This window comes from Homo sapiens, chromosome 1 (genome assembly GCF_000001405.40).
Source record: "Homo sapiens chromosome 1, GRCh38.p14 Primary Assembly".
In the NCBI taxonomy this organism is placed as follows: Eukaryota; Metazoa; Chordata; class Mammalia; order Primates; family Hominidae; genus Homo; species Homo sapiens.
The window spans coordinates 11,142,356-11,156,194 of NC_000001.11; the positions used below are offsets into that span (position 1 = coordinate 11,142,356).

At 44.2% G+C, this 13,839-nt stretch overlaps 1 protein-coding gene, 1 long non-coding RNA gene and 1 pseudogene across 9 annotated transcripts in view; 2 read left to right on the plus strand and 1 right to left on the minus strand.

Annotated features, from left to right (window-relative positions):
* MTOR (mechanistic target of rapamycin kinase) overlaps window positions 1–13,839 on the minus strand; it is a 156,017-nt gene that overhangs the window by 35,821 nt on the left and 106,357 nt on the right. For 7 of the 8 annotated variants that reach the window (XR_007058581.1, NM_001386501.1, NM_004958.4 and 4 more), the window contains 4 exons: window positions 7,771–7,871; window positions 4,321–4,436; window positions 2,613–2,690; window positions 2,293–2,400 (listed from right to left, as the gene is read on the minus strand). Coding sequence is in view for 7 of the 8 variants with exons in the window: in NM_001386501.1 (NP_001373430.1) it covers window positions 2,293–2,400; window positions 2,613–2,690; window positions 4,321–4,436; window positions 7,771–7,871 (403 nt within the window). In the remaining variant the exon portion in view is untranslated. Of the gene's footprint in view, window positions 1–2,292; window positions 2,401–2,467; window positions 2,494–2,612; window positions 2,691–4,320; window positions 4,437–7,770; window positions 7,872–13,839 lie in introns of those variants that run through there. The other variant, XM_011541166.3, reaches the window with a different exon arrangement.
* Window positions 1,543–7,183, plus strand: MTOR-AS1 (MTOR antisense RNA 1). The gene is made up of 4 exons (NR_046600.1): window positions 1,543–1,632; window positions 2,312–2,531; window positions 2,798–2,924; window positions 6,915–7,183. It is a non-coding gene; the product is annotated as an MTOR antisense RNA 1 (long non-coding RNA).
* On the plus strand, window positions 9,995–10,058 carry RNU6-537P (RNA, U6 small nuclear 537, pseudogene; annotated as a pseudogene).

Sequence of the window (13,839 nt, forward strand, 5' to 3'; positions counted from 1 at the left end):
TTGGCTCACTGCAACCTCTGCCTCCCAGGTCCAAGCGATTCTCCTGCCTCAGCCTCCCAAGGAGCTGGGATTACAGGTGTGCGCCACCACGCCTGGCTAATTTTTGTATTTTTTTCTTTTAGCAGAGAGGGGGTTTCTCTATGTTGGCCAGGCTAAGTCTCAAACTCCTGACCTCAAGCAATCCACCTGCCTCAGCCTCCCAAAGTGCTGGGATTACAGGTGTGAGCCACCATGCCTGGCCAAGTGAACTCCTTTTTCATCCTTGTTGATAAGAAGTCAGACTCAGAAGGGGAGTTCCTGAGATCTACTGCTTCATGGTAAATTCCATGAACCCATGGAGCTGTCCTCCATGGAGATAAACTTAAAAGTCTAGCGACAATGATCTCAGGCTTTTAGCTATGATAAGATGCAGTCTGAGCCTGACTGGAGAACCCAAGGCTAGAAGAGACCCAGCGCCAGTAAGGCTGACCTCTCTAACTGCCCTATGGGAGGGTCTTAGGAACCAAAAGCATTGGTGCAACTCCAAAGAAAAGTAACAAACATGTATTTTTCCACTACTATAATACTGGTTGGGGATTTTAATTTAAATGATTTGACCACAAAATGGCAGTTTTCTAGCCCCAGCAGTTCATTTGACAGCAAGCCATCCACAAGAGCCAAATTTCCACTATAAATGTAATGCTTTACTTTCAGGCCTTGGACCACATTTTTCCATCCCATGAAGTGTGACAACAATGATTTCGAAAGTTAAAATAACAGAAAAAAGTACACTGAGTGATTGTTTTTTGTGACTTCTCACCAATAGTTAGGTTCTCCCAGATGCTGAAATAATTTGGCCTCCTGTAAGCCAAAAAGCATCTTGCTGCCTCAAGATAGGAAAGTCACGAAGGCTTAAGGTGGTGGCAGTGTCCTGGACCCAGTAAAGTCAGACAGGCATCTCTCTTCCCAGGACTCATTCCATGCCTCCCCTCTCCTCTAAGTCTACATTTGGATCAAGTCCCACTTGTCAGACTGTCAGAAGGTTCATCAGATCTCTGCTGTAGAAACTCTTTATTATAGGCATTTCAAAGAATTGGGGTGTGTACAAATCAAGTGGGAAATGCTTATTTGTGGAATTCTTTCTGGTGCCCAGGAGACAATTTTCCATCAAAACATTCACTGGGCATTTCATAATTACTAATAAAACATGTAAAAGAACTGTATGTGCTCATTTCAGAGCCATAAATGACTGTATTCATAGATGTTCCTTTGCCCATTGCTCTTTCCTGTCCAGGGGAATGTGCCCTGAGCTTCCTAGGCAGGAATGTGTTTGGAGTCAAAAGGTTTTGTCGCAGCCTACTGAGACGCCTGGAAGCACAAACTTCGATTGGTCTGAAGCGAGAATTTGGAATTAGCAATTAGGTGGGGATCTAGTTGAGAGGAAATGGTTTATAATTGCGGGGATGGATTATGATAGGTAGGGAGACAAATGGTTTCTGGAGTGGTAAAGGCTTTCTCTCTTTTTTCTTTTGCTGATGAACTTCCTATCCTACCCACTCAAGGAATGGGATAACTGGCCATCCTTCCCAGAACATTTAGACTCCTGACTCCCAGACCTGGAGTGACAGTTTCTCATGTTAAAATGATCAGAATGTGAGAATGAAAACACTGATGGAGGACTTGGGAAAGCTTCTTCTCTACAAGCGGAAACTGCAGTGGAAAAAAAGTCTCAATAGAGGCGACAGGATGACTCTGACCTAAGTAGCTATAAATAGCAGGAGTTGGCCAATGAGAACCTAAGGCAACCCCATCTGAAAAGCTGGTGCAGGTGGCCTCCAAGTGTAGTTAGAGCAGTGGTTCTTAGCTTTGGCTGGTGGAATCATCTGGGGGAACCTGAAAAGATACTGATCCTGAGTCTCTCCCCAGAAATTTAATTGGCCTGGGGAATAGCCTGGGCATCAGGATTTTAAAAAGCTCTGCAGGTGATTCTACTGTGCTGCTAAGGTTGAGAACCACTGATTTTGAGGTTATGATTCCTAACTGACTGGTCACAGGTGTCACTTACTAAAAAACATTTTTTTTAATTCCTAGAGAAGAGAATAAGAAGAGACTGGAAAATTGGTCATTCTCTCACAGCTTAAGTTTAGGTGAGGAGCCTTTGAGTATTCTGCTTTGTATGCAAGCCAAGCAATACACTGGTGGAGGAGGCAGGAAAAGCAAGTTGAGTAAGAGCCAGGGTGGAGGGGGGCACTCACCCAGGTCCTGGAAGGGGTAGGGGTAGGTGGGTGAACTGGGGCTTTCTACCAAGCTCACCTGCAGTCTCTCCCACCAGATCTGGCGGATGATCTCTCGTCGCTCGGGGACAAGTTTGTACTGGATAACCTCCTCCAGCTCGGACAGCATGTGGCAAGAAACCATGGCCTGATGGAAGCAAATCGCATTCCAAACTAATTACTGCACGAACAATCCAAAAGACAGGATTAATTTAAATCATTCCTTCTGGTGTCAGGGTATCTGCCGATCAGAGAAAACAGGCATGTTTCCAGCAGCCTGTAAGTTCTCAATAGCCCATTCTGAAAAAAGTATGGAAATAAGCCTCAAAAATGACAATGTGCAGAATAGTTGACACTTACCCCATATGCCCGACTGTAACTCTCTCCTGCCATCGCAGTTAATTCAGCATCCAGCAGGTCCCTGGCCTTGTCAATGCACTAGAAGAGAAACAACCCTTGGGACTGAGCTCTGGACTTGGGAGCTTAGGGTTATTTTAGGGCACCCCAACTAGCTACAGAAGTTATCTGTCTCACTTAAATTCCAGGGATGAAAAGAGAAATTCGCTGAAGAAGGGCATTTTCCCAGAACTGAATGGCTTGAGAGGAGGTATTATCCAATTTCTCATCGAAGACAGAAATGTATGGCATCCAAAACTTTAACATCTATCTAAGGTAACACACAAAATCTTAGGTGGCAAGGGCATGGGAATGTGGGCTGTAAAACCGAATCATGGGTTCTTGCATCTCAAGAGGACATAACTGGGGATCTACCTTTTTTTTTTCTTCTGAGACACAGTCTCACTCTGTCACCCAGGCTGGAGTGCAGTGGTGTGATCTTGGCTCACTGCAGTCTCCACCTCCCGGGTTCAAGTGATTCTCTTGCCTCAGCCTCCCAAGTAGCTGGGATGCTGGGGTTACAGGCGCCCGCCACCACGCCCAGCTAATTTTTGTATTTTTAGTAGAGATAGGGTTTCTCCATGTTGGTTCAAGCGATTCTCTTGCCTCAGCCTCCCAAGTAGCTGGGATGCTGGGGTTACAGGCGCCCGCCACCACGCCCAGCTAATTTTTGTATTTTTAGTAGAGATAGGGTTTCACCATGTTGGGCAGGCTGGTCTTGAACTCCTGGTCTCAAGTGATCCGTCTGCCTCGGCCTCCCAAAGTGCTGCGATTACAGGTGTGAGCCACTGTGCCCAGCCTGGGGATCTACCCTCTTTTAACTTTTTCTTGCTGGGCATGTTTATGAAAATAGATTCTGCACACACTTCAATGGCTCCAGGTGGTAGCTCTGGCTTCCAAGCACCCTCTGTCCTTATGAGGGAGTGTCTCTAAAATTGGCAGAGATGCCCAATCCTGTCCACATGAACGGGAACTCTTGTGTCTCTGACAGAGACAACCAAGATCTTGGTTCTCATCACACAAATGACAGCCTGGGGGACGCCACAGCACTGCAGTTTGAGTTTCCTCTGTGCCATCAATTAAAAACCCCTCATGCAGAGCTTTTCCCGTTTTTGAATGTTTAAGGTTAATTATAGTGTCCCAATGCCTTAAGTGCTCAGATCATTTACCCGGGCACCTCATCTAAGTCTCGTGTCTGACAGGGTGGATGGGATTACTTCATTATTTCATTCTGCAAGTCAGCATACTATTTGCAAGTAAGTACTAGCTTCCTCGGAAGGTAATCAATGTGTGACATGCCTGCATGGCCAGAAGACCCTTGTGACTGATTTCTGCTGCACAGTGAGACTGCTGGCTCTCTGAATCCTACCTTTTGGTGAAATACAGCTTCTCTCTACAACAAGGGATACAATGATGACCCAACAAGCTAACTCCAAAAGCAACCGAGACAGTAGCTTCCAGAACACATTTGTCCCCCTCAGAACAATAAGTAGCCCCAGCTGACCTGCTGGCAGTCTTCTGAGTACAATGAATCAAAACCATTCAAATGTACTCACAGAGCCGAGTAAACATCAGACCTGAAGTACAACAGCTTCTTTACCAAAGCACCGTGGGCTTAGAAGCACTACAATCTTTTCCTCACTGAGAGATCTGGGTGCATGTAGGTTTTTACCTGTTGTGCCAAGGAGAAGAGGTCCTGATGCAGTGCCAGCACAGCTCTATAAAATGCCCCATCATGGGTGTCCCGAGGGATCATACAGGTGTATTCTTCCATGCTGTCCCACTGACCTATACACACACACATAGACAGAAAGCATCAAGGGGGTTGGCTGGTTGGGCTAAAGGCAGCATCTCAAATAGGTCTTGCCACTGTTATTTTCCTTTAGCTTGGGATATAAACAAGACAAATAAACTTGAGCCTCATGTACCAAAATCCTGCAGAGCCCCTATACACACTATGCAGGTTGACGTAACAAAAAAAGCCACATCTGTCTTCCAAACACAGGACTCCATGGCTGCCCAGGGAGCATCTTGACAGATGAGGGGAAGTGCATGAGTGTGAAGTCTGCACATCAAGTGGGCTGAATGCAGCACCTCATTATCCTAGAGAACTCTCTCAGGTTTCTCCAGGTGCAACAAAATTGCTTTCTTCCTTACTACTGAGACAGCTCACAGTTCAATGGTATGTTGGGAAATTACATTTTCCTCCAAACAATTGAAAATAGCCATTACACAGATGATAGGGGACAGGATTAGACAAATAGCTTGCCCATTTCATTCTGGCAATATCTTTGCCTCAGGAGGGAGGAGATAAATATTTTAAGCGACTCCATTATAACAAAAAGATGGGCTAGGTCACAGCACAGTGCTCTCTGTGTCATATTAGACAGGGGAAATAGCTGCATCCGGGAAGAGGTATTCACTTCTCCTGGTGGGGTGAGTATGTATCAAATGCCAGGATTTCCAAGACCATCTGCAGAAAAGATATCAGCTTCATTAGCTGCAAACTACAGGGCTGCCAATTTTACAAGGCATTTTCCTGCCTCTCACTCCAGACCATCGGCTCATCCATTCTCTATGCCTCTGGGCACAAGCAAATAGCTAACAATGACTCCTCAGGAAGCAATTTGTTTTTGAAAAATGTTCCGGATCTAGCCCAGAGCTCATGAAAGGAAAAGGTATAAGCTCTGTGACTCAAGAGGGACAGAAGAAGAGAATGGAGGTAGAGGGTTATGTAACTTTCCTCTGGGCTCCACAGGTGAAGCTTTTCACCAGGGACACTCTACATATCCTCTCCCTTCTTATCAAGACCATCTCTGGAACACATATTGATAATCCTCTTAGCTGGGGCCCAGTGTCAGAAATTGACATGTCTGCAGGGATTGAAAAGAAATCTCTGCTTTAACTCTGGGAGTAGGAGTGAGGTGGGTAAGAATTGGGCAGCAAAGAGGAGAATAGAGACAATAAATGGTGAAAATGTTTGTAATTGCTGGAAAAGGTGAAGGGCAGATGGGGGTTCATTATACTATAATCTTCACTGTTATATATATTGGGAAACTTCTAAAATATAAGTTAAGAAATATTAACAAAAGGAGATAGACAACTGTCCTCTCCCTTTACTCCTGCTTGGGATAAAAACATGACATGGGGAGCTCCAGCAACCATGCTAGATCATGAGGTGAACTTTAAAATGGAGGCACAGGCTGAGCATGCAAAGCAGAAATCTGGAAAAAGGCTAATGATAATAGAGCCAAAATACTAGTCTGGAAACGCCTACCTCTAGATTTCATTTATAAGAGAGGAAAATAAATCAGTAACTTGCTTTAGGCAACCAAAGCCAAATCCTACTGTGGTATAAGAAGAAATATGTTTGGTCTTTGTCCCTAGTGCCTGGTATAGAGCTATCGAAAACCCTCTGCATTTCCTGAGTGATAGGAGTGTTCCTTATTATTCATAATGAGCCCCTATTGATTATGCTGATAAGGTAGAATGGTTTAAGAAAAAATTTATTTATTGAGAAGGCCAATTATAGAGATGACTTTATGACTTTAGGCATAGCTGGATGCAGGAACCTAAAGAGACTTCTCCTCATCTCTCTTTAAAACAAAAAAATTAGGGCCAGGCGCTGTGGCTCACACCTGTAATTCCAGCACTTTGGGAGGCCGAGGAGGATGGATCACGAGATCAGGAGTTCAAGACCAGCCTGGCCAACATGGTGAAACCCCGTCTCTACTAAAAATAGAAAAATTAGCCGGGCGTGGTGGCAGTGCCTGGAATCCCAGCTACTCGGAGGGCTGAGGCAGAGAATTGCTTGAACCCGGGAGGCGGAGGTTGCAGTGAGCCGAGATCGTGCCACTGCACTCCAGCCTGGGTGACAGAGCGAGACTCCATGTCAAAAAAAAAAAATTATGTGTGTGTGTGTGTGTATATATATATATAATTGGTAGAGACGGAGTGTCACTATGTTGCCCAGGCTGATTTCAAACTCCCAGGCTCAAGTGATCCTCCTGCCCAAGCCTCACAGAGTGCTGGGATTACAGGTGTGAGTCACCACACCCAGCCTTCTCATCTCTTATTTCTGCTTTCAACTGAAGAGGTAAATGGAGACACAGAGATGCATACCCTAGTACCCTGCTGAATGTGTAGGTGTATGACCCCACTAACCTTACAGAATATCCAAACCTATTGCCAAAGAGATTGGTTCTTTGAGTAGCATGTGACTTAAACTTTGCCTTATGTTGTCTCTCCCTCCTTCTCCCCTTCCAGGATGGGGCTGGTTACCAGAAAGACCAAGTAATTATCGGGTTTGAACTTTCAGCCCTGTCCACTGACATCCAGGAAAGGTGAAGAGGTTGAAAATGAAAGGCAATAAAAACTCTTGAACAATGAGCTTCCAGGTTGATGAAGGTGCTGGGAGGGTGAAGGTAAACCCCAGTACCACAGGACAGAAGCTTCTGCACTCCAGACCCTTCTAGACCTTCCCTCATTGTACCTGTTCACCTCTATCTTTTATAATACCCTTTATAATAAACAAGTAAATGTAAGTAAAGTGTCTCCTTTTGTTCTGTGCGCTGTCCTGGCAAATTATCAAACCTGAGGAGGAGGGTTATGGGAACCCTGATTTACAGCTGGTCAGTGAGAAACACAAATCACAACCTGGAACTTGTGATTGGCATCTGAAGTGGGGCGATATTTTGGGACGAGCCCTTAACCTGTGGGATCTGATGCTATTTCCAAGTAGATAGGGTCAGAAATGAACTACTTGACACCCCACTGGTGTCTGCTGACAATGGCTTGGTGTATGGGGAAAAGCATCTGGCATCAGTACTCTGTGTGAGTGTGCTAAGTGTGTATTTCTCACCCACTAAATCTCAATTTTGATTTTGTGCACCGTTTTCCTTGGCCTCCCCACGAAGATCCAATTTTCCCCATGTCTAACAAGTTAATAAAAATCATCAGGTAGAAAGGACAGATGGAAGGTGTAGAAGTAGGTGGATACAGACCATTTTTACCCTTCCATAGACCTGGATCTCCACCTAGAGCCAGCACCTTACTCTTCTGATGCGAGCCCCTAGCCTCACTCACCCCATCCTTCACAGGGTGCCTGTGAGGGAAGCTTTACCTAAACCCCATGCAGCTGCAGCAGCCATCCGGGCCATCTTGGCTTGGGTCTCATCATTAACCAGGGTCCACTTTTCACAGCACTGCTGGTGGAGTTGACCCCTGAAGAAAATGAATTATATAGTCAGATTAATCCAAATCTCCTTAAACTACCAATCTTCCTCTCCTGCCCCTTGGGTTAGGTGAGGACTACACAGGAACTGGACACCTTTAATAAAAAAGCACATTCTACTAGGTCACATAATAGAGAATCAATGGGCTATTTGTTGTTTCTATGACCCGGTGCTCGTAATTTTTCTGGGTGAGTTTATCAAGGATAGGAACCATGCCTAACTCTGTGATATGAAATGTCCTGAACATCTGGCTCCCTTCATAAATATTAAATAACTTCTCTCCTATGCCAAAGAATTCTGGGCTCTTTCCCTTTGGCAGGCCTACAGAGAAAGCAATCTGAAGAGACGCATCTGGACATTCATTTTGGGCTCAAAGCTATAGGGAGAACTGGCTCCTAAAAGTATTATACCAATGGTTTCAGTCTGAAATGAAACCCAGATGAAATCAATCTGTACAGAAGAAAGGCTCCACAATGGTCACATCTACCAGAAGGCTAGATGCTGCTTATTCTCAGAATTTTGCACAATTGCTGAATGTGAAGGAGGACTATGAGATATTGAGATATAAATGGTGCTTAAGACACCCCAATAAACAAAAGAGAACATGGAAGCCCTAGAATAGGGTCTTGCTATTGACTGTTGAAACTCCCTCTCATGTTTCGCTTCTCAGTGAAAAAAAATAAACTCGGCTATTATGCAAATCCGAGTCCCTGATTTCATGTGAGCTTCAAGATGCAGCTAGGAGACTCCTTAATTTTTCCTGCTTTCTGAAAGACATGCTGCAGGATGATTTAACTTGGCACTGGAGGTGGAGTCATGAGGAAGGGCACAAGTTCTAAGTGGCCCAGGTCAGAAGCCTCATGGAACATGAGCTGCTCTGCGCTCTAAGGTGGTGTAGGAGGGCGGGGATAAAGATGCTGAAGTCAATCCCTGCAGAAGGAATCTAGGCTGAGCTCACCAAGAAGCTGACTGTGGACCACGTCTAGGAGAGGTACTCAGGGCCATTATCCAGCATCGCAGTACAGCAGATATTAACTTTGTTGTCTCTCTGGCACATGATCAAGAAAACCAGGGACACAAGCACTCTGGCTCAATACAGAGCTGAGACCAAAAAGAGGAACTGGTGGCCATGATGCCCTATGCATTTACTGAAGCTCCATTAAGGGAACAGGATAAACCTCTGTGTTGGTTTTCTGCCACCGAGACTTAGAAATCTTCACTCCTGGGCCCTGCTAGGGGTTCCCTTAGAGCAGTAGTTCTCAAACTACTAAGTGCATCAGAATCCCCTGGAAGGCTCCTTCAGATGGCTGGGCTCCACCCTCTGAGTTTCTGACTCAGTAGTGCTGGGATAGGGGCTGAGAATGTGCATTTGTAACAAGTTTCTATGTGACGCCAAAACTGCTGGACCAGGGGTCACAGTTTGAGAACCACTGGCTTAAAGCAGAGGCACAGCTCATCTGCACAGCATATTTTTGTAGGGATCCTGACTAGAGGTAGAAGAGAAAGCTGCATGATCTCCAAATGGTCCTTCCAACCCTATAGTTCAAAATTTACAGCTGGTGAACACAAGCAACTTGGATGAATGCATCCTTCATGCAAGCTGTCCCTCCTAACTCAGCCTCCCTCTATTATTTTTTCAGGATCAGCTGATTCTGTGCCACAGGACCAAGGATGTAGTTTTTCTTTTCATCTAGAGCAGGAAGCAAGTTCAGTGCTGAAATCCCACAAATTGTTACCCCAAGAGACAAAGCAGGGAGCAATGTAGGAACAGCAACTCAGAAGGGCAAGCCCTAGCAGTGAACTTCGCACGGCCTTCACCATGCAGCTGTGTGGGAACAGCTGTCAGAGCTTGGTCAGTACACAGACAAGAGCATTGCTCTTCCACAAACATTTGTTACAAAAAATAATGCAGAATATACCGAGTCCTACCTCTCAAGGGCGGTTGGGTGAGGGGCAAAACCAAATAAATAAAAAACATGAGATTGTTTATGGGGCAACAACTAGGATATGTTTTTCTGATACCTTTCACTACACATAGGGAGGACTGGGTAAAAGGTGCACCCTCTGAGACTTTGATTTTCTCACCTAGCGTTCTGGCAAAAAACGCAGAAAGTGCTTGCTTTGGCAGCACATATACTAAAATTGGAACGATACAGAGAAGATAGCATGGTCCCTGAAGATTTAAAACAAATAAAAAGCTTAGGAAGTATTCTTTCATTTGGAATGGCTCCATGGCTCCTCTTAGGGTTGAGGGCCTATGATCTCACTCCCGAGGAATCTGTTCTCAATACCTAGCTGTGTGGGGAACAGTTTGAGGAGGGGGTTCACTTTAGTTCACTTTGGCTGCAGGCGTGGCTGCCTGCACCATAGGGCTGGGCAGGGCAGGGGGTGCGGGTTGCCTAGCTCTCACAGCCTCCTGGAGGCAGATAAGAATGGGGAAATGGGAAGGGTCTCAGCTCACTGTTAACTCCAGATCATTCTTCATGTCACCTCTGATGAACATCTGCCTCAGGCATATTCAGGATATACGCACACAAAAGAAATTTAGAAATTGCACTCTAAACAGAATTGACTGAATAAACCGTATCAGAAACCTGCATATGATCAGGAAAAATATTCTGCTTCTTTCGACTCGTTTTAAAACCTCTTTTAGTCTCCCACATTCTTAAATCCTTTGGTCAGCATTACTAGCCACTTACGCTTTATGGGTAACTATAAAACGGGAAAGAACCCAAGAGGTCAGAGGTATTTGGGACTGAGAACGGCAACATCAGGAGATCGATATCACTCAGCTCGGTTTTCTCAACTTCTGTGAGCCTCAGTTTCTTCAACTATAACACAAAGGAATTGGAGGAAACCACATCTCAAGTCTCTTCCAATGTATCCAATCTGCTCCTACTAACCCAGCTAGGAAAAGTGGTCATCTTTAATGTGAAAGGAGAGGAGTGGAAGGGGAAGGGGCCAGGAGAGGTTTCAAGAGGGAAGAAACAGTGGAGAGGATTTCAAAAGTAGAAAAAGAGGCAGAAGAAGAGGGCAATTCAAAGAATGGAACGAATGAATGTAGGACTTGGAGAAGAGTGAATAATTTGGCCAGAGCTCAGATTATGAGAGAAGGGTTCACAGAGAAATGTGCTGAAGAAGCGGGCTGGTGCCATAATAGGAAAGACTTTGAATGCCAGGCTGTGATATTTATATGTAAATCCAATGGCAACAGTGAAACATTGCAGTATTTTAGGAATTGATTAGAGTTGAATTTTAAGAACACTTCCATCTCGTTTTATCTTTCTCATAACAAGATATGATTGTATGACAGCTGATATGAAACTAGAAAAATTGTTTTTGAAATAATGTGAATAATTCTTATTAACATACTTTTCTTTTGCCTTAGATCAGTGTTGTCCAATAGAGCTTTCTGTGATGATGGAAAAGTTCTCTATGTGCACTGTCCAATACAGCAGCCACTGGCCACATGTGGCTACTGAACACCTAAAATGTGGTATGACTGAGGAACTGAATTTCACATTTTATTTAATTTAAAAATAGCCATAAGGCCGGATGCAGTGGCTCACACCCGTAATCCTAGACCTTTGAGAGGCTGAGGCAGGTGGATTTCTTGAGGTTGGGAGTTCAAGACCAGCCTGGCCAACATGGCGAAACCCCATCTCCATTAAAAATACAAAAATCAGCCGGGAGTGGTGGTGCATGCCTGTAATCCCAGCTACTCAGGAGGCTGGGGCAGGAAAATCACTTGACCCTGGGAGGTGAAGGTTGCAGTGAGCCGAAATCACAGCACTGCACTCCAGCCTGGGTGACAGAGTGAGACTCTGTCTCAAAAAAAAAAAAAAAAAAAAAAAAAAAAAAAAAAAGCCACATGTGGCTAGAGGCTACCATATTGGACAATACAGCTTTAGATACTTGTTGGACTGAGAAAAACAACAACAACAACAACAACAACAACAACAGCTTTAGTTATATAAATAAATAAAGCGGATTTTAAAAGACATGCTTCCTAAATTTATTGAGGTAAATGAACATGGAATTTTTGTTGTTGTTGTTGTTGCCCAGGCTAGTGTCAAACTTCTGGGCTCAAGCAATCCGCCTGCCTCAGCCTCCCAAAGTTTTGGGATTACAGGTGTGAGCCACCACACTCAGCCTTTTAATGTTAATTTATAAAAATAAATAACACTTCCTATAAATAAAAAAATAAAAATAAATAAAAATCTTCCTAATGATGGTTAAATCAGACAAGCCACTTTCAAATAATTGTGGAATATTATCTCTCTCTCTATATATATATATATGATCCAATGCCTAAGGCTAAGTTCACTAACATTAAATTTTCATGCAAAACATTATAACATCTTCTATCTTGGGGATGTAGTAATAACTTTATATTAAGAAATAACAGCCAAACTTGGCAACATAATGAGACCCTATCCCTACAAAAAATAATTTAAAAAAATTAGCCAGGCATGGTGGTGCATTTCTGTAGTTCCTTCTACTCAGGAGGCTGAGGTGGGAGGATTGCTTGAGTCCAGGAGTTCAAGACCACAGTGAGCTGTGATCACACCACTGTACTCCACTGAGAGACAGATTAAAGTCCTGCCTCTTAAAAAAAAAAAAGAAGGCTGTGCACAGTGGCTCACACCTGTAATCCTAGCACTTTGGAAGGCCAAAGAGGGAGGATCGCTTGAACCCCAGGAGTTCAAAACCAGCCTAGACTGCACTGTGAGACTCCGTCTCTACAAAAAATAAAAAAAATTAGCCCACTGTGGTGGTGTGTGCCTGTAGTCTCAGCTACAAGGGAGGCTAAGGTAGTACAGAAAGACTACATGTAGTGAAAGATCATTCTTTTAGAAGACTTGCTTTGATTTTGTCCAATATTCTTAAACTTTCCAAGGCAGGAAATGTCTAAACAAATAAAAATTTGCCTATATTAAATAGACTAGATTTATTGATATGATGAAATATCATGCAGCTATTAAAAAAATGAGGCAGTAGCTCTACAGGTGCTGATATGGAACAGTGGCCTAGACTTGTTAAGTGAAAACAGCAGAGTGCAAAATGGTAAAAACAGCACATTGCCGTCAATGTACATCCCTGTGATGGGGGTCAGGATATACTACCCTGAAATATAGCACACCTTGGCATACTGAATATTTTAAGAAAATGGCAGCAAAAAAAAAATTACTCTGACTCTCCCCTGCCCTTATGCCCTGAAGCAGGTCATAACATCTAGGAAAAATATTTTGACCTTCCCCTGAAGGAGGTCATAAGGCCCTCATGTGAGAGATGCCTTCCCTATACCTGGAGGAAAGGTACATCCTTATTTCTGAAGACAGGGGGTCACAGAGAAGAATCTGAACAAAAAGGCCTACTAAAATCCCCCATACTGTGCTCCTCATTGTACAGGTCCAAGTTAGATATCGTTTCCTCCCGGTATCTTCCAAGGCTGATTAGGGTGCTTCCTATTACCCACAGCCCCCTGGGCTCCTTTGTTGATGGTATCACAATGTATTACGACAGCCTGGTTGTCTGTCCTGTAAGCTCTGGGAAGGCAGGGGCTGTAACTGTCTTGCTCACGGCTGTGTCCCTAGGGCCTGGCACAGACACTAGCAATGAATACACACGTGATAGTTACTGGCTGAATGAAGGAACAGTGGACCCTCAGTATCATGTTCCAGAGAAAGTAGGGATAACCTACTAGTCGGGAGGTAGCATGGAACTTTGTTTTAGTCATTTATTTTTTATTTATTTTTATTTATTTTTTTGAGATAGAGTCTCGCTCTGTCACTCAGGCTGGAGTGCAGTGGTGCAATCTCAGCTCACTGCAACCTCCGCCTCCCGGGTTCAAGTGATCCTCCTGCCTCAGCCTCCCGAGTAGCTGGGATCATAGGCCTGCAACACCACGTCCAACTAATTGTTTATTTTTAGTGGAGACGAGGTTTCGCCATGTT